Raw genomic sequence first — 25,318 nt, 5'->3', positions numbered from 1 at the left:
TATTTACCATGTTTTCTCAACCATTTAACCAAGATAATCTTATTGTATTGATTCTCCTAGAGATACTTAATTCATTTATTATCTTCATCTGTCAGAATTTATGTTAGAATATCACCAAGAATTACTTACAATTGAAATAAATCAGAGAGACCACTAAGAACATTGTCAATCATTAATCCAGAAATCTTGAACTTTCTGAGGTTTTTATCCCTAAAAGAAGTTATTTATCAATAGCCTGGTTACAGATTTTTTATGGAGGCTGAGGCAGGATAATCACTTGAACCAAGGAGGCAAAGATAGCAATGAATGGAGATCATGCCACTGCACTCTAGCCTCGGTGACAGACTGAGTGAGACTCTGCCTCAGTGAATAAATAAGTAAATAAATAAATAAAATCACCTCTTGAATGGAGGGCGAAAAAGGAGTATAACACCAGGACTTGGGGGAAAAATATGCATTAGAAGGGAAGGAGAACATACTTAACATGCCAGTGGAAGATGAAATTCTAAATATCTGAGAATATTTTTGAGAACTATGTTTAATTCTCACTATAGAAAGATGTACCCTTTGAATGACATTAAAAATTCACTAGAAGAGTGAAGAATAATAGTTAAAATGTCACATAAGTAACAAGAGTCTCAAAACATAAAGTGTTCTAAAAGTTTAAAGTCCGTATTTGAGATAGAGGAGAGAATAAATAATAGTTCATTAATTAGACTTTATTATGTGAAAAGACTTTTCTAAAATGCTTCCATAATAATTGAAGATATAAATTACAATAATTAAAATTTACAAAAGAATAAAAGCATTAAAATAAATTGTGAGAATTTTAAAAAAGAGTAAAGTTGAAAATTATTTAATTTTTAATCCCAATAATCCGAAAGTGATTTTATCAATGTCCTAAGAAAATTAAAGTAAAAACAAACTTAATAATGTAAAAGAAGGGAGGTTTCCGCCGGGCTTGGGGCGGGAGCTAGGGCTTCTCTGGGGTCTCAGTAGTGAGAAGCAGGGACCTTGGCGGGCACTAGGCTTTCCCGGACGGTGCCGCGATCCCCCGCCCACGCCTCCGGCATGGTGCTGCTGGCTGGGACTCGGCCGCAGGGTGGCGGGGCGCGCTGCATGATCCCGCCACCGCCATCCCCACTCCTAGGCGCACAGGTCGAGGAGGACCGCACTGAATTCAAAGAGTTCCAGGACTTCTCCAGTCTGCCCGACACTCGCAGCGTCGCCTCTGACGACTCTTTGTACCCTTTCCAGGACGAGGAGGAGCACGGCGTCGAGGGCGTGGAGAGCGTACCGGAGGAGGGCGTCCTGGAGGCGCGGGGCAGAGGCGGACGCTGGTGCGGTGTGGGGTGAGCTTTAAGAAGGCGCGGGAGACTGACCACAATGGCTGGACTGGCCTTAATGTCGCCTGATACCACGACTTTGTGGATATACCGTGGTGGCCTTAGCTGAGTACCCCCACATTGATGTCAACTGGCAGGACAGGGAGGGGAACGCAGCCCTAATCATAGCTGCACAGGCAGGAACTGCCCCTGGCCCCATGGGCACTGTTGCCTTAGACACTGGCTCTCAGCCTTGCCCTTCCTGCGTCAGCATCAACTGGGCTGGTTCATTTGAGCTTTAACACAGATCTGGTGGAAACAGGCTGCCAGGCCCTGCCCCTGGAGTCTTTCTTTGAATAGGCCTGGGGTGGGGCCCAAGAATGAGCAGAAGAACAGGTTTCCTGGTGAGGCTGATGCCGCTGGCCCAGGGATCCCACGTTGAGGACGGAGGGCTTTGAGGTTTTCATGCCTGATAATGGCCAGGAACCCTTCTCAGTAGGCATTGAAGACCAGCAGAGTCCCAGACCCCAGGAGAGATGTCGTCAGACGGACACAGAGGCATCACGGAATTAAAGTGAAAATGAAGAAAGGAGCTGAGCATCTGTTTCATGACTTCCCTGCGTTATTTTACTAAAGAGGCTGTTCTGGCCCAGTCAGGGCACGCTATCATCACCAACTACTTGTTGAACTATGTCCTGGGTCTTGACCTTGAAGGAGGGATGCGTTTGGGTTGAAAGCCGCCATGCAGGGTCGAACCGATCACATCGGAGCCCTGAGCTAGTAGGGGCGGGTGTCCACACGAGGGTCCCTGCCGTGGGATGTCGCCAGAGGAGTGGCCACTTACACGTCCGCCTCATGCAGAGGCTCCTGGAGCGCCCCTGCCGGGAGCGGTTGGGGGAAAAGTACCAGCTTGAGCTGCCTCCGCTCCACGAGAGGGCGCAGAAGCCCGAGGGCTCCAAAAACTGCCTGCCTGCAGAGGGTCAGGAACTGCGAGCTGTCCGCGCTGACGCCGGGCGCCGTGCGTGGCCCAGAGGACCGGGGCGCCCTGGACCACATAGTCAGGATGACCACGAGCCTCTAACAGCCCCGCCGTGGCCTTCGCGTGCCAGACCGTGTGCCCCGAGAGGACCCTGTGCGTGGGGAAGAGGCGGCTGGCGGTGCAGGAAATCCTGGCGACTCAGGAAATTCTGGCGGCGCGGCGTGGGGTCGGTGGGGGCGGCAGGCGCAGGTGGCGGGCGAAACGGAGGGCGCAGAGCAGCACAAGCGGCCTGGCCTAGAGGCGGCGGGCTCCCGTGAGGAATCCCCAAGAGCCGGCCTCCCACCTGCCCCGCTGCCGGGGTCCTGGGGCTCTGCCGACCCCTCCCTGCGGAAGGCCAGCCTCCTGCCCCTGCAGCGCCTGCGGCGGAGCAGCTTGTGGCCAGGCATGGTGGTGCCCCGGGTCCGCCTCAGCAAGGCACCCGCGCCCACCTTCCAGCCCAAGAGGGCAGCGCGGAAGGGCAGCACCAAGGACAGCGGCCACCTGCAGATACCCAAGTGGCATAACAAGGTGGCCAAGGAGGAGAAACCCGAGGCGGAGGAGGCCGAGAAGAAGCGCCAGGCCAAGGTGCAGGAGAAGCGCCCGCTGCCCTGGAAGAAGAGGACGTGAGAGTCCGCGGGTGCTTGACACGGGGTTTGAGGGCAGGGCAAGGCCGCGGGGCTGGGCACCGTGGCTGCTCCCGGGACCACCGGGCCGCGTGTATTTCCGCGCTATCTCTCTAGGATGCTCCCAGGAAGGGGCTGGGGGAGCCACATCGATTCGCCTGACACCAGCCACCCTAGCAATCAGTACACCTAGCGGGCATGTTGCCTAAAAGGCTCCCTTTAGAGAACCTCCGTTAAGATGTTTTTAAAGATCAATTTATTAGGCCGGGCGCGGTGGCTCATGCCTGTAATCCCAGCACTTTGGGAGGCCAAGGCAGGCGGATCTCCTGAGGTTGGGAGTCTGAGACTAGCGTGACCAACATGGAGAAACCCCGTCTCTACTAAAAATACAAAATCAGCCGAGCATGGTGGCACAACTACTCGGGAGGCTGAGGCCGGAGAATCGCTTGAACCCTGGAGGCAGAGGTGGCAGGCAGCCAAGATCGCACCATTGCACTCCGGCCTGGGCAACGAGAGCCAAACTCTGTCTCAATTTAAAAAAATCAATTTATTAAAGGGTATTTTCTGTGTAATTTTGTATTTTTAATCGTTATCCAATTTGCCAATTTTTACAAGTTATAGGACCTCTTGTATCCAAGGCAGTTTTAATACAATTGCCTGAAGACCTTTTATTTAAAATACTGTTCCTAGCAATAAATATTTATGATATCTGTAGGAGTTTACACAGAAATCATGGGATTCTCTCCTTTTGGGCTGTTTGCTTTGTCTTTTCTTCTCATCATGGGTGCACGTGCACACTGGATGTTTTTATTAATTAGATTAAGTGATGCTGGATATTTCTATTTGTTGGAGGGATTGACTCGTTCAGCCACATGATCAAGTGAGACAGAGAGATCAGATTTTATTGTATCTTTTTAAAAAGTGTTATCCATACAGTCGTATATTGGGGAAAAACTTTTATCGTCAAATTATAAAACAATGCAAAGATAAGCATGTAGGTATTGCTAGAATTAAACTCACTTTAAGCAAGGAGTTTTAGATAAACTGGATACAAAATCTTTAACATATTAAAAAAAGATATGAGACAAACGTGTCATTCGATAAAATGGGGGAAATATAATAAATGATTAACAGAAATACAAAATTAAGCCATATATGCACTCAAGTAAATCGAATCCAGGCATCCTTAAAATGTAATAAAGGATGCAACAAGAGTAAGGAGCCCAGAATGATGCAAAATAAAGGAATGGGGAGGAGGTGATGTTTACAACAAGCAAAGAGAATGCAGTGGGAAGCAAACTTGTTTTAGGCAAATTCTCCTGGAGTGGACCAGGCAGCCCTCTCTTCCAGACTCAGTTCCAAAGAGTCCCTTATGTGGGTATTTATTTTATTTTTCCTTTGAGGACTGCACTTGGTGTTTAGTTCAACCTCATGTGGACCTCATGGAATTTCCAAAACATGGGGCCTTGGCATTGTGGCACCTTCCTGCTACACGTACCTAATTCACAGCGTTACCAAGTCACCATGAGCCCTACCCTCACCTCTGTCAGCTGAGGACCCAGCCAGGCAGTGCCACATGGTCTCCCAGGCACACTTCTCCAAGCTGGCTATCCCTGCTGCGAAAATTCTCAAGGCACTGGTCCAGGGAGATGAGCTCTGGGCCTGTCCTAAAGCTCCATTGGTGACTGCACTGCAGCCCACATGGAGAGCTGCAGCTCTAACACAGGGATTTTGAGAGGCCTCGGTCACCTTTAAGTGGCCACTTTGTGGAGCTCCCACAAAGGGCTCCACCTTCCCAAGAACGTCTAATTGTCGTTGGAATAGCCAGGGTTAGGCAGCTTCTGCTCAGGTTGATGTGGCATCTGACCCTTGTTGGATTGCCAGGCATTCCTTCCTGTTTCCGCCATGGGAAGTTAAAAATCATTTAAAAATCAAACTTGGGTTCCAAGGTGGCCGAATAGGAACAGCTCCAGTCTACAGCTCCCAGCGTGAGCGATGCAGAAGATGGGTGATTACTACATTTCCAACAGAGGTACTGGATTCATCTCACTGGGGCTTGTCAGACAGTGGGTGCAGGACAGTGGGTGCAGCCCACCTAGCATGAGCTGAAGGAGGATGAGGCATCGCCTCACCCAGGAAGTTCGAGGGGTCAGGGAATTCCCTTTCCTAGCCAAGGGAAGCTGTGAAAGATGGCACCTGGAAAATTGGGTCACTCCCACCCTAATACTGCATTTTTCCAATGGTCTTAGCAAACGGCACACCAGGAGATTATATCCTGCGTCTGGTTCAGAGGGTCCCACGCCAACAGAGCCTCACTCATTGCTAGCACAGCAGTCTGAGATCAAACTGCAAGGCAGCAGTGAGGCTGGGGGAGGGGCGCCTGCCATTTCTGAGGCTTGAGTATGTAAACAAAGTGGCCTGGAAGCTTAAACTGGGTGGAGCCCACTGCAGCTCAAGGAGGCCTGCCTGCCTCTGTAGACTCCACCTGTGGGGGCAGGGCATAGCTGAACAAAAGGCAGCAGAAACCGCTGCAGACTTAAATGTCCCTGTCTGACAGCTTTGAAGAGAGTAGTGGTTCTCCCAGCACAGAGTTTGAGATCTGAGAACGGACAGACTGCCTCCTCAAGTTGGTCCCTGAGTAGCCTAACCAGGAGGCACCCCCAGTAGGGGCAGACTGACACCTCACACGGCCACTTACCCCTCTGAGACGAAGCTTCTAGAGGAGCGATCAGGCAGCAACATTTGCTGTTCAGCAATATTCACTGTTCTGCAGCCTCTGCTGCTGATACCCAGGCAAACAGCGTCTGGAGTGGACCTCCAGCAAACTCCACCAGACCTGCAGCTGAGGGTCCTGACTGTTAGAAGGAAAACTAACAAACAGAAAGGACATCCACACCAAAACCCCATCTGTACGTCACCAGCATCAAAGCCCAAAGGTAGATAAAACCACAAAGATGGGGAAAAAACAGAGCAGAAAAACTGAAAATTCTAAAAATCAGAGCACCTCTCCCCCTCCAAAGGAATGCAGATCCTCACCAGCAATGGAACAAAGCTGGATGGAGAATGATTTTGACAAGTTGAGAGAAGAAGTCTTCAGACAATCAAACTTCTCCAAGCTAAAGGAGGAAGTTCGAATCCATTGCAAAGAAGCTAAAAACCTTGAAAAAAGATTAGATGAATGGCTAACTAGAATAACCAAGGTAGAGAAGTCCTTAAATGACCTGATGGAGGTGAAAACCATGGCAGGAGAACTACGTGATGAATGCACAATCTTCAGTAGCTGATTCGATCAACTGGAAGAAAGGGTATCAGTGATTGAAGAACAAATGAATGAAATGAAGTGAGAAGAGAAGTTTAGAGAGAAAAGAGTAAAAAGAAGTGAACAAAGCCTCCAAGAAATATGGGACAATGTGAAAAGACCAAATCTGTGTCTGATTGGTGATGAAAGTGATGGGGAGTATGGAAACGAGTTGGAAAACACTCTGCAGGATATTATCCAGGAGAACATCCCCAACCTAGCAAGGCAGGCCAACATTCAAATTCAGGAAATATAGAGAATACCACAAAGATACTCCTCAAGAAGAGCAACTCCCAAACACATAATTGTCAGATTCACCAAAGTTGAAATGAAGGAAAAAATGTTACAGGCAACCAGACAGAAAGGTCAGGTTACCCACAAAGGGAAGCCCATCAGACTAACAGCAGAGCTCTCGGCAGAAACTCTACAAGCCAGAAGTGAGTGGGGGCCAATATTCAACATTCTTACAGAGAAGAATTTTCAACCCAGAATATCATATCCAGCCAAACTAAGCTTCATAAGTGAAGGAGAAATAAACTCCTGTATAGACAAGCAAATGCTGAGAGATTTTGTCACCACCAGGCCTGCCCTACAAGAGCTCCTAAAGGAAGCACTAAACATGGAAAGGAAGAACCAGTACCAGCCACTGCAAAAACATGCCAAATTGTAAAGACCATCGATGCTAGGAAGAAACTGCATCAACTAATGAGCAAAATAACCAGCTAACATCATAATGACAGGATCAAATTCACACATAACAATATTAACCTTAAATGTAAATGGGCTAAATGCTCCAATTAAAAGACACAGACTGGCAAATTGGATAAAGAGTCAAGACCCATCAGTGTGCTGTATTCAGGAAACCCATCTCACGTGCAGAGACACACATAGGCTCAAAATAAAAGGATGGAGGAAGATCTATCAAGCAAATGGAAAACAAAAAAAGGCAGGGGTTGCAATCCTAGTCTCTGATAAAACAGACTTTAAACCAACAAAGATCAAAAGAGACAAAGAAGGCCATTACATAATGCTAAAGGGATCAATTCAACAAGAGGAGCTAACTATCTTAAATATATATGCACCCAATACAGGAGCACTCAGATTCATAAAGCAAGTCCTGAGTGACCTACAAAGAGACTTAGACTCCCACACAGTAATAATGGGAGACTTTAACAACCCACTGTTAACATTAGACTGATCAATGAGACAGAAAATTAACAAGGATATCCAGGAATTGAACTCAGCTCTGCACCAAGCAGACCTAATAGACATCTACAGAACTCTCCACCCCAAATCAACAGAATATACATTCTTCTCAGCACCACATCGCACTTATTCCAAAATTGACCACATAGTTGGAAGTAAAGCACTCCTCAGCAAATGTAAAAGAACAGAAATTATAACAAACTGTCTCTCAGACCACAGTGCAATCAAACTAGAACTCAGGATTAAGAAACTCACTCAAAACCGCTCAACTACATGGAAACTGAACAACCTGCTCCTGAATGACTACCGGGTACATAACGAAATGAAGGCAGAAATAAAGATGTTCTTTGAAACCAACGAGAACAAAGACACAACACACTGCAATCTCTGGGACACATTTAAAGCAGTGTGTAGAGGGAAATTTATAGCACTAAATGCCCACAAGAGAAAGCAGGAAAGATCCAAAATTGACACCCTAACATCACAACTAAAAGAACTAGAGAAGCAAGAGCAAACACATTCAAAAGCTAGCAGAAGGCAAGAAATAACTACGATCAGAGCAGAACTGAAGGAGATAGAGACACAATGAAACCTTCAAAAAATCAGTGAATCCAGGAGCTGGTTTTTTGAAAAGATCAACAAAATTGATAGACTGCTAGCAAGACTAATAAAGAAGAAAAGAGAGAAGAATCAAATAGATGCAATAAAAAATGATAAAGGGGATATCACCACCGATCCCACAGAAATACAAACTACCATCAGTGAATACTATAAACACCTCTACGCAAATAAACTAGAAAATCTAGAAGAAATGGACACATACACTCTCCCAAGACTAAACCAGGAAGAAGTTGAATCCCTGAATAGATCAATAACAGGCTCTGAAATTAAGGCAATAATTATGAGCCTACAAACCAAATAAAGTCCGGGTCCAGATGGATTCACAGCTGACTTCTACTAGAGGTACAAGGAGGAGCTGGTACCATTCCTTCTGAAACTATTCCAATCAATAGAAAAAGAGGGAATCCTCCCTAACTCATTTTATGAGGCCAGCATCATCCTGATACCAAAGCTAGGCAGAGACACAACAAAAAAAGAGAATTTTAGACCAATATCCCTGATGAACATCGATGCAAAAGTTCTCAATAAAATATGACAAACAGAATCCAGCAGCACATCAAAAAGCTTATCCACCAAGAGCAAGTGGGCTTCATCCCTGGGATCCAAGGCTGGTTCAACATACGCAAATCAATAAATGTAATCCAGCATATAAACAGAACCAAAGACAAAAACCACGTGATTATCTCAATAGATGCAGAAAAGGCCTTTGACAAAATTCAACAGCCCTTCATGCTAAAACCTCTCAATAAATTGGGTATTGATGGGACGTATCTCAAAATAATAAGAGCTATTTATGACAATCCCACAGCCAATAAATATCATACTGAGTGGGCAAAAACTGGAAGCATGCCCTTAGAAAAGTGGTGCAAGACAGGGATACTCTGTCTCACCTCTCCTATCCAACACAGTATTGGAAGTTCTGGCCAGGGCAATCAGGCAAGAGAAAGAAATAAAGGGTATTCAATTAGGAAAAGAGGAAGTCAAATTGTCCCTGTTTGCAGATGACACGATTGTATGTTTAGAAAACCCCATCGTCTCAGCCCAAAATCTCCTTAAGCTGATAAGCAACTTCAGCAAAGTCACAGGGTACAAAATCAATGTGCAAAAATCACAAGCATTCTTATACACCAGTAACAGAGAAACAGAGAGCCAAATCATGAGTGAACTTCCATTCACAATTGCTTCAAAGAGAATAAAATACCTAGGAATCCAACTTAAAGAGACGTGAAGGACCTCTTCAAGGAGAACTACAAACCACTGCTCAATGAAATAAAAGAGGATACAAACAAATGGAAGAACACACCATGCTCAGGGATAGGAAGAATCAATATCATGAAAATGGCTATACTGCCCAAGGTAATTTATAGATTCAATGCCATCCCCATCAAGCTACCAATGACTTTCTTCACAGAATTGGAAAAAACTACTTTAAAGTTCATGTGGAACCAAAAAAGAGCCCTCACAGCCAAGTCAATCCTAAGCCAAAAGAACAAAGCTGGAGGCATCACACTACTTGACTTCAAACTATACTACAAGGCTACAGTAACCAAAACAGCATCGGACTGGTACCGAAACAGAGACATAGACCAATGGAATAGAACAGAGCCCTCAGAAATAATGCCACATATCTACAACCATCTGATCTTTGACAAATCTGACAAAAACAAGCAATGGGGAAAGGATTCCCTATTTAATAAATGGTGCTGGGAAAACTGGCTAGCCATATGTAGAAAGCTGAAACTGGATCCCTTCCTTACATCTTATACAAAAATTAATTCAAGATGGATCAAAGACTTAAATGTTAGACCTAAAACCATAAAAACCCTAGAATTAAACCTAGGCAATACCATTGAGGACATAGGCATGGGCAAGAACTTCATGTCTAAAACACCAAAAGCAATGGCAATAAAAACCAAAATTGACCAATGGGATCTAATTAAACTAAAGAGCTCCTGCACAGCAAAAGCAACTATCATCAGAGTGAACAGGCAACCTACAGAACGGGAGAAAATTTTTGCAATCTACTCATCTGACAAAGGGCTAATATCCAGAATCTACAAAGAACTCGAACAAATTTACAAGAAAAAACAAACAACCCCATCAAAAAGTGGGTGAAGGAGATGAAAAGACACTTCTCAAAAGATGACATTTATGCAGCCAACAGACACATGAAAAAATGTTCTTCAACACTGGCCATCAGAGAAATGCAAATCAAAACCACAATGAGATACCATCTCACACCAGTTAGATTGGCGATCATTAAAAAGTCAGGAAACAACAGGTGCTGGAGAGGATGTGGAGAAGTAGGAACACTTTTACACGTTGGTGGGACTGTAAACTAGTTCAACCATTGTAGAAGACAGTGTGGCGATTCCTCAAAGATCTAGAACTAGAAATACCATTTGATCCAGCCATCTCATTACTGGGTATATACCCAAAGGATTATGAATCATGCTGCTATAAAAACACATGCACACGTATGTTTATTGTGGCACTATTCACAATAGCAAAGACTTGGAACCAACCGAAATGTCCAAAAATAAGAGACTGGATTAAGAAAATGTGGCACATATACAACATGGAATACTATGCAGCTATAAAAAAGGATGAGCTCGTGTCCTTTGTAGGGACATGGATGAAGCTGGAAACCATCATTCTCAGCAAACTATCACAAGGACGAAAAAACGAACAGTGCATATTCTCACTCATAGGTGGGAATTGAACAGTGAGATCACTTGGACACAGGAAGGGGAACATCACACATAGGGGCCTGTTATGGGGTGGGGGGAGGGGGAGGGATAGCATTGGGAGATATACCTAATGTAAATGAGGAGTTAATGGGTGCAGCACACCAACATGGCACATGTATACATATGTAACAAACCTGCACTTTGTGCACATGTACCCTAGAACTTAAAGTATAATAAAAAAAAATCAAACTTTCCAGAGAAGACATCTCCAGAGAAGACACACTGAATATGCATCTGCTAGGCTTCAGGCACCCAATAATTACTGCTTACCTAGATATCCACAAATCCTCTAGACATGAGACTATTCATAGCAGATTCTGGTGTGTATCACATTGGTAATAAAGCACTTCATCCTCACTTACTCTAATAAAAATACTTTAAACTTACTTCCCAAGGCACTTTTGTCTGGTCTAAGCAAACATGTAGCTATCCCAGCTTTCTCAGTTATTTTAAATAAATCAATATTTAAAATACCTATAATTAGCGTATTTATAATATATTGGTTTGTGTTATATCAAGTAATTATAGTTTGTTTTATTATGAGACAGACTGTCATTCTGTCACAGGCTGGACTGCAGGGCACCACCATGGCTCACTGCAGCCTGGACCTTCTGGGCACGAGCCATCGTGCTGCATCAGCCCCCTGAGTAGCTGGGACTATAGCATGTGCCATCATGCCAGGCTGATTTCTAAAGGAATGTTTAGTAGACATGAGGTCTCACTGTGTTGCCTCCACTGGTCTGGAACTCCTGGCCACAAGCCATTCTCACTCCTTGGTCTCCCCAAGTGGTGGGATTGGAGGTGTGTGCCACCATGCCTGGGCTCCTATTTTATTCTACTACCTTATGCATTATTTGACATTTTGGGTCTTAAAAGTTATAATTCCACAGCGTTCATGTAATTATGGAACCCATAAAGAGCTTACAATTACCAATATATTATATACATGGAAAAGTCTTTTCTTAACTTCAATTTTATCGTTTAAATTGGCATATGTTTATTAACTTGTTTCTGAGATTCATCAGCTTTGTTGCATTCAGTGAGTTATTTATTGTTTTATAGGATTATTTTGCATAAATACACCAAATTTATTTAGCTATTCTACAGTTGAAGAATATTTTGGGTCTAATTTGGAGCTACTATAAAAATTGATGCAGTGAACAATATTGTGTATGTTGAAGTATATGTAGGCAATCAGTTGACTATATTTTAGAATTAGAATATCTAGCCCATAAGAAATGCTAATAGTCAGTTTCCCAAAAGGGATTTCCATTTACATCTCTCCAGCCATGAATAAATTTCATTTATTCTGTATCTTTGACAACACACAATATTGTGTCTTTAAATTTTGGTATTTTTTTATGAGGGCCTGTGGTACAACTGGTGGATTAATTCTTACTTTTGTAAGACTAATGAAAGTGAGCACTTTTTTATATTTGGCTAGTTATTTATGTATCCAATTCTGTAAAGTGTCTGTTCAGATATTTTAGCCAATCTTCTGTTGAGTTCACTGTCTTTTATTTATTACAATTTAAGTATTCATCATATACATGTATTATATTTTACTTTATGTATGTTGGGGTGAATATCTTTCTCCACTACTGGTTTGCATAATGTTTTTTGAAACACAGAAGTCATCATTATCAATATAAATGAACTAATTGTTTTAATTATTAATTTGTGCCCTGGTTAAGAAATCCTTATGAGAATATTGTATCAGGTTCCCCTTCCTTTCAGGACTTCAATCTATCTGGAAATGACTGTGTATGGTTTGAGGTAGGAGTCAATATTTAGTTACTTTTTAAAAAAAATTTCAATTAATCCAGCATTGTTCTGATCACATTGTGTATTTCAATGTAGACGAGCACACTAATAATGAAGGATTATTTATATCTGTGGTGAGAATTGCAAAATAAAGCCCAGCATAGAAGGTCAAATAGTATTACCTCAAAGGATAGATTAATACAATGAAACCTGATGGATAAGTGTAATATAGTTAGATAAAGAGGAAGAAAAACATTTCCCAGTTATCATTGAGACTTCACTCCAAGTTTTTTGCATGAAGCAAAAGATCCCGACTGTCTTCCATTGATTTTTACTTCATTCAGACATGTCTGTCATCTATTATTTCACTCAGTGACAGTCATAAATAAAGAAAAAAAAGAGAATATACTGTATGCCATGATCATGAATAATGATTTTTCAAAAATTATTTAATAAAGAACCAATACGTATACTTTTAGCGTTTTCAGCATATTTAATAGTAACACAATAAATGAGTTTTGATAACATTAGAAGGCAATTCAAGACATAAAATAGAGCCTATTTGTCCTGTATGTTAAGGCACAAGGAAGAGGACTTCCTGGGATAAAGGGGTTCCCACAGCATGTGAACACATTTCTGATTTGTCTCTGGTCAGAAGTGAATACAGCAAAAGATAGGCCTGAGAGGAGGTGAGAAAGAGCAATTAGGGATGGTGTATATTAGGGAGCTTTGATTAACATCAACAAAGCTCACAGTCTTAGCCTCACAATCCAGGAATAATCCTACTCGGCTGGTAGGTTTTGGGATATATTGCAGCATAAGTGGGGAGGTGGTAAAGAGACTGCATTGAATGTCATTCTTAATACACCCAAGAAGAAAGAGTCCCTCCTTTCCATCTATCTTCTCATTCTGATTCTTCTCCTTCCGATACATATTACAGACACCAAAAGCCCAATTCCAGGAGTCCCCTACATGGACCTCCCAGTAATATTTGCCCGAGGTGAAAGTCTGAACACCCCATGCAAGAAAACTTCTAGGTGTTGCAGTGAAATAGGGTACATCTTGATGGTCACATCCAATACACATGCTTCTCAAAATTTCATACAGAAAGATATCACTGTTGGCTTCTTCATGATGCAGAGTAATATGCACTGCAAAAAAAAAAAAAAAAAGAAAACATGCATAGACATGTGTAAATAAGAAAAAAATAATTGTTCTATCAAGAAGTTACTTTACCAGCAAATGTAAAGTCATAAAAAGTTTTGCTTGTAACTTCTAGTAAAGTATAGAGATGGTTAATATTATATACAAGACAAACAAAACCCTAACCACAGATATTATGTTTTTTTTTTGAAAACTTACATATTGAGAGCCAAATGTGAGACCAACTTCTTTCAATCCAATTTTCAAAGTAAAATTTACACATTATATGCCCTAAATGCAATGCTGTTATCAAGATCATTATTTAGAAATGTTTCTTATTCTTAAAAACTAGTGCTATCATTTTGGAAAGAATGTGAATGTGAAGATTTTCACTTAAGAACTGCTCTAGATATCTGGATAAAAATCCATATGTACATGTTATAAGTGATAATTTAAAGCAGATCTCTGCAAAATCTTTGACCAGTCTCTCTGAGGTCCTCCATGCTAGCTCTGGGCTGAAGCTGGATTTTAGACTTAACATGTAGCTCTTCATATTGCAATTAAACTGAACTTATTTTCATTTGTAATTTTACTTATATCCACAAAATGATTTCTTCCTTTTAGCTTTACCTATTAATTCAAATGTTTGCAATATATGAATAATATATACACATTAAAAAAATACAAAACCCCCAAGAATCTCCAGAAAACTATATTCCCCTAAAGAACAGTTCTTAGCAGTTCAAATGAATACACTAAAGAAATGCACAATTTTGTATTTAACATTAAATAATTCACCATTCTGAGCATTATTTCATTTGCTCCTTTTTAAAATTTTCTACACTACTCCTTTTTCCCGTTATATAACTCAGTACATATTATGCCAGAAAGTATTTCTTTTTCACTATCTTTCAAACTTAATGCTATAAATCTGACTGTAAATACAGACACGGATACCAAAGGGTTGCATGGTTATATTGTTCACTTATGTCTTAAAAGAAGTAAAATATTTGATAAAATATGAAATATTACCTATGTGATCCTAACAATAATAATATTTAGATAGTGGGAGTGCTGCCTGTGGGTGGAGACTTACCTCGGAATTGGTTGAGCCTGTCCCTCAGTCCAGTGATGGGCCCTGCACTGAGCTCTGGATTCAGAGGCTGGGGCATGTGCAGCAGCACGGACTCACTCCTGCAAGGAAAAACCTGCAGTTACAACATCTACAGCCATAAAATAAATAAAAATCACTATTTGTATATAAAAGACATTTCATGAGAATCCTTTGAATCTACACATTTGATAATTCAAAAATTAATCCTTCCTTTTGCAAATTAATTCTTTACAGTTTCTAAATTTTAAAGCATGATGGAAGAATCTAAGCCAGAATCCAATCTGATCCTTCTTTTTTTTTTGCTCCAAATGTGTAAGGTTCCTTAGCTTTATGGCCTTGAGAATATTTAGAAACGAAATTCTGAGTTCCACTTCTTGGCAGACTCCCCTGACATCTTTGTCTGAAATAGCGGGGTTTTGGGGAGACTGATGCATCCACTGCTTCCTTCTCAAGATAAAGAATGGAAACTTGTTCTCTCCCCTTTTAGCAAAGAACTTCCCTAGAGACTTATACAGTTCTAACACTCCACAGTTTTTTTCAATCTATTTTTCAGAACTGTTAACTGATATGTATATATGTATAAAAAACAAAACATCAACACTTTTTCGCTGCTAAAATACTTCCTCCTCTTCTCTCCTGCTTCCTCTGGTGACTTTCTCACCATTCACAAAACAAAACTCTTATCTTTCTCCTGTGCAGGCTTTCAAGCAATAAAACAAAATCAGGGGCCGGGCACGGTGGTTCACGCCTGTAATCCCAGCACTTTGGGAGGCCGAGGCGGGCGGATCACGGGGTCAGGAGATAGAGACCATCCTGGCTAACATGGTGAAACCCAGTCTCTACTAAAAATACAAAAAATTAGCCGGGTGTGGTGGCGGGCGCCTGTAGTCCCGGGTACTCGGGAGGCTGAGGCAGGGGAATGGTGTGAACCCGGGAGGCGGAGCTTGCAGTGAGCCGAGATGGCGCCATTGCACTCCAGCCTGGGCGACAGAGCCAGACAGCGTCTCAAAAAAAAACAAAACCAGGAATCAAATTGTTTGTTTTAGTTCACTCTTCTTTTATTCATTTATTTACTTCGTGGCCTTGTCTTTTAAGGTGTGGGAACGAAAGTAGATGCAAAAAAAAGTGGTATCAATATCTTAATTATTTATGCCATGACTTTAATAGAGCCTGCTTTGATAGTCGTGGAATCTTAAAGAACATATGCTAAAATCTAGGTACACACTCACCTGTGTAATATGTCTCCAAAAGCCTGAAAAAAAAAAAAAGAAGAAAGATTTAGTGCATTTCACAAGATGCATCTTTCACTAAGTTCAGTGTGAGATTTGTACTCAGTTTCTGAAGATATTATTTCCCTACCATCTTCTCTTCTGGAAAGTATTTTCTATTTCTTCTGTAATGAAAAACCCAGTCAGTTGTATTGTTATTAATTAACGTCCTGGGAAAGTCTGAGTCTTGAAGACATTCTCTAAAGAAGTGAAGGGAGAAGAGGCCCAGAAGGTCTATGGTCTGTGGTAACCATGAAAAACCTACTCAGTCATCTTTAACTGAACCTGTTACCCAAATGAGTGGACCCCAAAATAATGTTAATGCAAACCTAGATTCCCAAAACTTCTGATCTTGCCATGTTTACAAATTAACCTAAATGTAAATGAATCACTCACTATTCTATACATGTTTAACAACCCAAAGTATATTATTGAATTAGATGGGGAATATTTCTTGGGGCTGTTACCTTGACCATTCCACAAAGTTTTGTGGCTGGTGGATAAAGTAGGAGGGACCTTTGCCCTGGTAGAATCCCTTAGTGGGGCTATACTCTCCCAACAAAGTAGCATTAGTTATGTGAATGTGTTTTTGGAAACACATCATGGAAATAAAAGTAGGGAGATGGATTTCAGCCATGAGGAAAATACTTATACATGTGAATATTCAAAAACCTGAAACCACATGGCGAGTTTTTACCTGAAGTAGCTCCACATCTGGTTTATGGCACATTTCGTTCAGCTCCTCATACATTCCTCTTAAAATCTCCATCCTATGAGCCATTTTGGCTTTACTTAAATGAAGTCGATGAAAAATTTCTTTCCCCTTCTTTTTCAGCATCTCCAAATTATGTTTTTCTTCTTCATGATGAAATGCAGGCATCTTCTGATACTCAGCTCTAATTGCTTCTAGCCTTAAATTCACATAATCCTGCAGTGATAATGGGTTAGTCAAAAGAGAAATGTATATATCCATCTCCTATTAAATCTCACTGATTCCTTTTGTCTCTCGAACGTCCAATAGTTCAAACTTCTGTCTTGCCAGTTCTTAGAATCTACAAATTTTGTTCCTTTCCTTTTTTCTGCATAAAGATCAACATAGCTGTATCTGACCAATTACGTTAAATTTATTCAAGATAATGTGTTTTCTAAGATAGTTGAAAACAAAAAAACACAATTTGAATTTCTCTATTCCAACCCATATTTATGGCAAAGTAAGAACAGTTCATGCTTGAGAGTTGGAGTATAGGGCTATAGTTACTAGAAAGGAAACAATTCTTTCTATTTCTGAGATATGCAACAAGTTGCTTAAACTCATTATATGAAAATGACCTTAGACTAGCATGTCCAGCTAAGTGCATTTCGCTCAGCAAAACCTATCCTAATAAGGCTGCATTTATGATTTGGCCATCTTTGTCTCCCTGAATTCATTTCCTTCTATTCTTTTTCTAAGTCATCCCAGTCTGAAACATAGACTTCTTTGTGGTTCCTCCGGCCTCCAAATATACACAAACTCAAAATTACTGCATATGCTATTCTCTCCAACTAGAATTACATATATATGTATACAAACACACACACATACATACATACATACATACATACATATATACACACAACCACACACACATACATACATATACACACTCATGGTCCACATATATATCCACACACACATTTGTGTTCCCCCTCCTCTTGAAAACTTTGTTTCAATTTGAATTTTTCAGTGAGTCTTTTTTCTGACCACCCTATTTAAAACTCAAACACTAATCTCCAGTTTCTGGCCTCTATTGTCCTTTTCTACTTCCCTGCTTGATTATTCTCCAACAAAAACCTACCACACTCAAATACATCATGTATTGCATATATTTGTGTATTGACCATTTGACTCTCTTATTTGGATTGTATGATTTGTGAGGACAAAGGTGCTTCCTTTCTTCTTTACTAGTATATTTTCTAATTTAATATTCAACATAGACTAGGTTCTCATGAAATACTTTTCAACAAACTAATCTTAGCTATCATACCCTCAAAATATACATCCACAAAGAGAAAATTATTTTAATGTTTTTCTGAAGTCCTCAGAGTTCTCCTTATGTTTAGATACTAGTTCCCATATTTCTGGCATGTTTACATGTCTCCCTCAAGACACAAATCCGTATTTCTCACCGCTTTTCTCATCGTATGTTATGTATTATTCAATATTAATTAGTTGAGATTCTTAATTTCATGGTTTCCCTAGATTTGCCCTGTCACTTTTTCTGCCTCAAATTTTCCATGCAATTCCAAATACTACTTGCACACTAGCATTCAGATTAATGCTGACCGACACTCAGAAGTTTCAGTTGAGCATTCCATGACTGCCAAATAACCCTTTTGCCTAGCATTTATCCAACCAGCAAATATAGAATGCTTTGAGATGGCCCAGTTTCTTGGATCTGTTGGTGTATAACTATAGGTTTGTATGAAACAAACCAGCATGCTTTGGGTGACATCAGTAGTTTTCTTAGAAATCCTACCTAACAGGCATACTATTCTGTATAAAAATGAGGCCACTTTTTCTCAATGTTTTCTCTCGCCTTTTTTTTTTTACTGTATCCCAGAAACATTACAGTTTGATATCAAGTTCCTATTTTAAGAGTCACCCATTTGCCCACCATAAGTTCCTGGAGAAGGTAGAGTAGTACAGGACTAACCTTCCAGCATCTGGTTCTGGTGGTTTCCACATTCAGGTTTCTGTGATTTTCACAAGCTTTTTCCCACAAAGACTGCATTTTCTGTAAAAGCTTCTCCTGCAAAAGAGCCATAAATTGAAGCACCAGTGCAGACCATGACATAGGGAGGGGGCCCAGAATGAGAGACAAATAAGCCCCTAGTAAATGGCATTTCCTTTGTTTCCCTTCATGTTTGTCAAAGCCCAGAGGTTGGAAGCTAAGAAAGCCCAAACAGAGCTGCTTAAAGGGACTCAGAGTTGGCTTTACCTAATCTCCAAGAAAATAGACCCACAGGAATTTTATGCTTCCTTTACAGAAATCGATCTTCAGAGCCATCACTTACCCGGTGTTCCTCAGCAGCCCACTCAATGGGACGGTGTCTGTGATACCGGTGCTCCTGAGAGCTGGAGCACAGCAAACAGAGCAGGCTCCTGTCCACTTCACAGAATATCTTCTTTGTCTCCCTGTGAGTGCCACACATTTGCTCCTCAGAGCTCAGGAATAGCCAGAGACTGACTTTTCTGGCAAGAGAAGCCATCTTCTTCAAATGAATGTTGGTTTTGAGGTTTATCTGCTCTGTTGACTTTGTGCATTCAGAGCACTGGACAAGAAATGGGATGTCTTGCCAGTTGAGGTAGAAACAAGGCCTGCAAAAGCTGTGCCCACAGTCTATGGTGACCGGGTCTATGAAGTAGTTCATGCACAGGGGGCAGATGAGTTCCCCCTGAAAGACCTGTAAGATTCCAGAATTCATGTTTCTGAGGAACAAAGAGAAACATGTCATTTTGGGGCCTGGGTTGATGAAAAGCTTCTAAACATGTGGAGATATGTGATAGTTATATTTTCTTCTCTTGACAGTGTTCATTAAAGTACAACAAACTATTTCTTCTGTTACAAACTTAAAAATTTACACTTAGAGGGAGTCTCCTGGCTTTATAACAGATATTACTAACCAGAGGACTCACAGTCCCTTCTACTCCTAGTTCCTGTCTGTAGCATAATACAAACCTATTCAACTACCCATTTTCTGAACATAGATCTGGAAATTGGGTTTTGATTCTAAGTGGTCAGAATAAATCATAGTTGTCCCTATTCTTCTTTCAATAACTGATGAATGACTGTGAAAGAGTGGGAGGGAAAAAACTATCCAGGCCAAAGAAATATGAGAAGATGGCCAAAGAAATATGAGAAGATGGTTCTATGACATATTTTTATAGAGGGTCACAAAAGCCGGGCAGCAAACCACCATGGCACAAGTTTATCTACATAACAAGCCTGCAAGTCCTGCAGTTATCCCAGGACTTAAAATTAAATTAAATTAAAAACAAAGACCCAAATCAAAACAAAATTTAAAAAAAGCCAACCAACCAAATAAACAAAGAAAAAGACTGCAATTAAACCAATCAAGTTTCACTAGTAGGGAAAAGAAAAATTATTAAAGATATTGGGTCTTTTTATTTTCTTGCGGATTAAATTAACTTCCCCTAGGGCTGTGCAAGCTCTGAACTAACATATAGGAGGTTTTTGTTAAACTCAGAGAGGTGTAATTATATTTCCATAGTGTGATGGTGAATTTTAGGTATCAGTCTGACTGGATTAACCAACACCTAGGGAACTAGTGAAGCATTGTTTGTGGGTGAGTCTGTGAAGGTGTTTCTAGAGGAGAGAGACATGTGAGCTGGTGAGCTGAGTGGGAGCCTCATCTCTCAATGTGTGTGGGCACCATCCAATCAGCTGACACCTCAGATATAAAGAAAAAGGCAGAAAAAAGGCAACTTCCTCCGTCTCTCTCCTGAAACTTGTTCTGAAGCTTTCAGACTTGAGCTTAGCCAGGATACCGGTATTCTCAGGACACCAGCTTAGAGACAGCCTATATTGGAACTCTCTAGACTCCATAATCAAGCAAATTAATTTTCCTGATGAATTCTGTCCCATGTAGAATCATGTATAGCTTGTGGACAGATGTATGTTCTGAGAAATATGTCAGGTGTTTTTAGTTTTTTTTTTTGTTTTTTTTTTTGAGACAGAGTATCCTTCTGTCACGCAGGCTGAAATGCAGTGGCGTGATCTCGGCTCACTGTAACCTCCGCCTCCAGGTTCAGAGCGATTCTCCTGCATCAGGTTCCCAAGTACCTGGGATTACAGGAACGTGACACTAGGCCTGGCTAATTTTTGTATTTTTTTAGTAGAGATGGGGTTTTGCCATCTTGGCCAGGCTGCACTTGAACTTCTGGCCTCAAGTGATCTGCCTGCCTTGGCTTTGCAAAGTGCTGGGATTATAGGCACGCGCCACAGTGCCCAGCCAGGCGGTTTCATTGTTTTAATATGATAGAATATACCACACAAATCTAGATGGTATAGCCTACTACACCTATGGTATACACTATAGCCTATTGTTCCTACAATAGGCTACAAACCTGTACAGTATGTTCTGTACTGCATACTGTAGGCAACTGTAACACAATGATAACTATTTGTGTATCTAAACATAATTGAATACAGAAAGGGTACAGTAAACATATTGGTATTATAATCTTATGGGACCACCATATGTGGTCTGTGGCTGACTCAAATGGCCCATGAATGTATCTGCACACATATATGTATACATCCTATGGTTCTGTCTGGAGAACCCTGACTAATATAAAAACTATAATCTTTGTTTTGGCAATTTTAAATCCTTTAGCATAAAGCAGCATAAAGCTGCTAGTTTTATATCACTTCTGAATTTAAGTGAAAGCAGTGAAAAATCTTAGAATTGCAAATATTTTCCAGAACTCATCTAAGACATTTTAAGAAATTTTTCACAGTTTAATAAGATTGAGACTCAAGTGAGATGACAATCACAATCACATACCAAATTAGGTCTTATAAATTTACTTGTTCGAAAAATTGTGTTTTGATTTCTAAAGTAGGATATTTTGGGGAGCTTTCTCATTGTTTTAGTTTCACTATTTTGCATCGCTCATCATTACCTTACTAATTTAAAGTCATGTCTAAAACCTGAATGTTATGAAAGCAAATAACTTCATCATTCATTAATGTCTTCTCAATTCAATTTGACAATATTAATACACTCATTACATACATATACACACACACCTATGTGTACATATATGTATCAACTCCATATATTCATTATGAATACATATCTGTTGCAGCAAACACTAGATATTTTAAGTTTTTCAGAACTATATTAAACAATCATAGAAAGCACAAAATAACAACAATTAGTATCCTTATAATTCATAAAATCTATAGTAAGAACATGAGTTACAAATGGTATCATTGTGTAGATTTAAGATAATGAGATATTTTTAACACTCTAATTTATTATTGTGTAAAGGAAAGATGATATAATTTTATCAATATGTTTCACTCACCCTGGAGTTCTTTTAATGGTTCCCACAACGATTTTTCCAAAAATAATTTTGTTAAGTTCACCTCAAGGTCAGAAGCTCATTCACTGCAGTACTGAATTTCAGAGGTCGCCAAAATGCAGTTCTAAGTGCAGTCCTTCTCCTTCAGAGAAAACTGAGCTTGTCTCTTCCGTGTCCTTTTATAAGAACCTGTGAAGACCACACCCACCTCTTTATGGGTATTTAGAGCATTCAGAAAGGTGGAGACAAAGATGATTAGGTTTATGCAGTATTTAGAACACACCTTTGCAGCTCTGATTAAATTATCATCACACTTTCATTCTGAACACCAGTGCCTGAATGAATCACATGTAACATAAATCCTGTCAGAGCATACATAGGCTAGAAATTAACTAAGATGCATTTTATACTGTTTATTGAGTTTCTTCCATGATACAGGCATTCCTCTAAGTGCACATTTATTTATTCTAGAGAAAGGGTCTCCTTCTGGAGTGCAGTAGCATAATCATAGCTCCCTGCAGCCTTGAATTCCAAGTAATCCTCCTGCTTCAGCCTTCCAAGTAGCTAAGACTTTAGGCTCACACTATATCACCTGGCTAATTTTTTTTGTTGAAATTTTTGGTAACGTCAGTGTATGACTCTGTAGCCCATGCTGTTCTCCAGCTCCTGGCTTCAAGTGGTCCTCTGGTCTCGGCCTTCCAAAGTGCTAAGAGTACAGGTATAAACCACCTCATCCAGCTTAAATGCTGCTTTAGTACATTTATAGGATATTTCCAGAGAAGTCCAATGGAAGATAAAACTTTCCTTTTTGTTTTCTGTTTTCTACCACTCTAAGAGAAATCACTGATTAACCAAATAAACCCACTAACCTGGGGTCTCTCATTGAATTTACAAAACTTCACCAGTCTCATGGGTGAAAGATGAGTTATTATTTTAACGTTTTTCTCCATATAGTGCATGATGTCCTACAATGACTAGGAGTGCACCACGGGAATTATTTTGGGGATTACACATAACTTTTAGCATATAGGCAAATTCACAAATACAGAATCCAAATGATAGAGATGGACTATATTTTTCTTTCTATACCAAGTCTTTTTGTTGTTATATGAAAATTATTTTTTTTAAAAAAGAGATTTCAGAAGGGACTACTCAAATATCTTCTGATAGAGGAATTCTTTGCCAATGGTCCAGAAGACTTATGGTCAAGACTGTCAAAACAGTGAAGACAAATCTATCAGACCCAGGTCTGTCCAGGTTCAAAGACAAAAGCAGAACCCATAAGATATATGTATAGTTAGGGAGATTCACATATGAATTAAGTGCAAAGACTTGACTTACCCAATTGTGGGGGCTGCTTAAGCAAATGTGAGATCCTGGGTACAGTCCACCAGGAAAAGAAATCCCCCGCTGGCTGGATCCCAGTGGTCATGAATCAAAGCTTTGGTTTAAAGTCAATAGGGGGCAACTGGAAGATTAGAGTCCCATTTGCCATTTAAAATGTTGTTCAAGGAATGCCTATGTGTTTCTTTAAAGGACTTTCACTGATGAAGTCAGGCTTACTTGGGTACACTTCCTAGTTACAGGATTAGGACCTTTGCTCGCATCTGCAAAATGCCTTTCCAGCAGGTCTTAAGTAAGTGTTTCATTGAAGAATAATAAGGTATGTCTATGCCACAAAATGGCTACTGCCCTCATTTCCCTCTTTGTACATACATGTACTCAAGTTGACACATCATAAAATCATCCAGAGTTTATATTTAATTAAATAGAAGGAATTGAACAATAGATTTTCTTGTTCTATTGTCAGTTTACTATCCAAGACCACCAACTGACTGACCACCCTGTATGCACATTCTGTACCTCAATAAATCTAAGTAATTAACCAAAGTGTCCACACAGAAGTAAGATCTGTGCTGGTTGTGTGTGGGGGCCCTCTTGGCTCAGTCCTGGACTCCAGAGTGGGAAACTTGTGAAACCCTGGGTCATGGACTTGATCCTGTGGACATTCTCTGCTTAAATTCTGGAGCTCCGTGGCGGGGCCCTGGTACTCCATTACAAGGTCTGATGATGCTGTGTATCAGGAAGGAATTAAGGCAAGGAGAGAAAGGAAGGTAGGTAGCTTCTGATTTTATTTCAACCACTTTTTGCACCACATCATTCACTTATTCAAACACTCAGCTTTAGGCAGTTGAAGCCTAGAGCACTGGAAATTAGGAGCTTTCAATTACAGACCTACCTCTGTCTACTGTGGCATTATCAAGGAAACAACCTATTTTCCTACTTGAGTCTCAGACCATGAAACAAATATAAGAAAGTAATTCTCTTTAGAGTTGGCATTTTGTAGGTTCCAAAAGTCCTACCCAATCCAGAAGAGAGAGTAGAGGTGGGTATAGGCAAGAACAATCCGTGATGTGGATAAAGGACACTCCAGCCAATTTGGAATATTTCCTTATTTCCCAGTGCTTCTCCTTTTAATAAAAAAGATACTTTTTTGTACATGAGACTGTTTCCATTCTAGCATCTGAAACCTACCTCTACCACAAAGTTTTCTGTTGAATTACACATCTATTTTTGAGAATCTGGTAATAGACTCTTTTGTTCATCTGGGTTCTAAAACTCATTGGAAAATCTTTGTATGAAAGTTGGTGATCTATTTCTCGTTCCTTAACATATGTAGAAATCTGACTTTATTTAATTCTGGAAATTTTTAAATTTTTATAAAAATGCCATTCTATGATAAATACCATTTAAAACCTAGGTATTATAACTACTTTGACATTTTGTTTGTTTTATTTGCGCACATGGAGAGAATTCTGCATATTTTTTCCCATGCTAACAAAATTTATTAATTTTCCACAAATTTATATTTTGCTTTCTGGATCCTGAATGTCCAGGGCTATCTTTTCTTTAACGCTTTTTTTTTTTTTGCATTTCTTCTCAATTGTTTTACCCGTTTATTGTCTATTTTTCTACAAACCCCAGTCATTTTCTCTTGAAACCTCTTATCTATTTGAGTGGAGAGAAATATGTTAGAAAAAGGAAGGGGACAATGTGATACATGGGCTATGATGTACCAGTTACTGTGCTGTCTCCA

The 25,318-nt window shown here is 40.4% G+C and overlaps 1 protein-coding gene and 1 pseudogene across 3 annotated transcripts in view; one reads left to right on the top strand and one right to left on the bottom strand.

Moving 5' to 3' along the window:
- The window catches only part of TRIM49C (tripartite motif containing 49C), a 42,426-nt gene extending 18,725 nt beyond the window's left edge, over positions 1–23,701 (bottom strand). Inside the window, exons 1-8 of one of the 3 annotated variants that reach the window (NM_001195234.1) lie at positions 23,563–23,701; positions 22,225–22,410; positions 19,185–19,599; positions 18,824–18,919; positions 16,828–17,058; positions 16,092–16,114; positions 14,845–14,942; positions 12,782–13,756 (exon numbers count right to left, since the gene is read on the bottom strand). In NM_001195234.1, the coding sequence (NP_001182163.1) occupies positions 13,257–13,756; positions 14,845–14,942; positions 16,092–16,114; positions 16,828–17,058; positions 18,824–18,919; positions 19,185–19,595 (1,359 nt within the window). In that variant the 5' untranslated portion in view covers positions 19,596–19,599; positions 22,225–22,410; positions 23,563–23,701 and the 3' untranslated portion in view covers positions 12,782–13,256. Of the gene's footprint in view, positions 1–12,781; positions 13,757–14,844; positions 14,943–16,091; positions 16,115–16,827; positions 17,059–18,823; positions 18,920–19,184; positions 19,600–22,224; positions 22,411–23,562 lie in introns of those variants that run through there. The other 2 variants (XM_017018126.2, XM_024448656.2) reach the window with 2 other exon arrangements.
- On the top strand, positions 1,973–2,500 carry ANKRD33BP10 (ANKRD33B pseudogene 10; annotated as a pseudogene).
- Positions 23,702–25,318: the final 1,617 nt, after the last annotated feature.

The sequence above is a fragment of the Homo sapiens genome, chromosome 11 (assembly GCF_000001405.40).
Source record: "Homo sapiens chromosome 11, GRCh38.p14 Primary Assembly".
Classification (NCBI taxonomy): Eukaryota; Metazoa; Chordata; class Mammalia; order Primates; family Hominidae; genus Homo; species Homo sapiens.
This window is presented reverse-complemented; position numbering and strand designations above follow the sequence as displayed.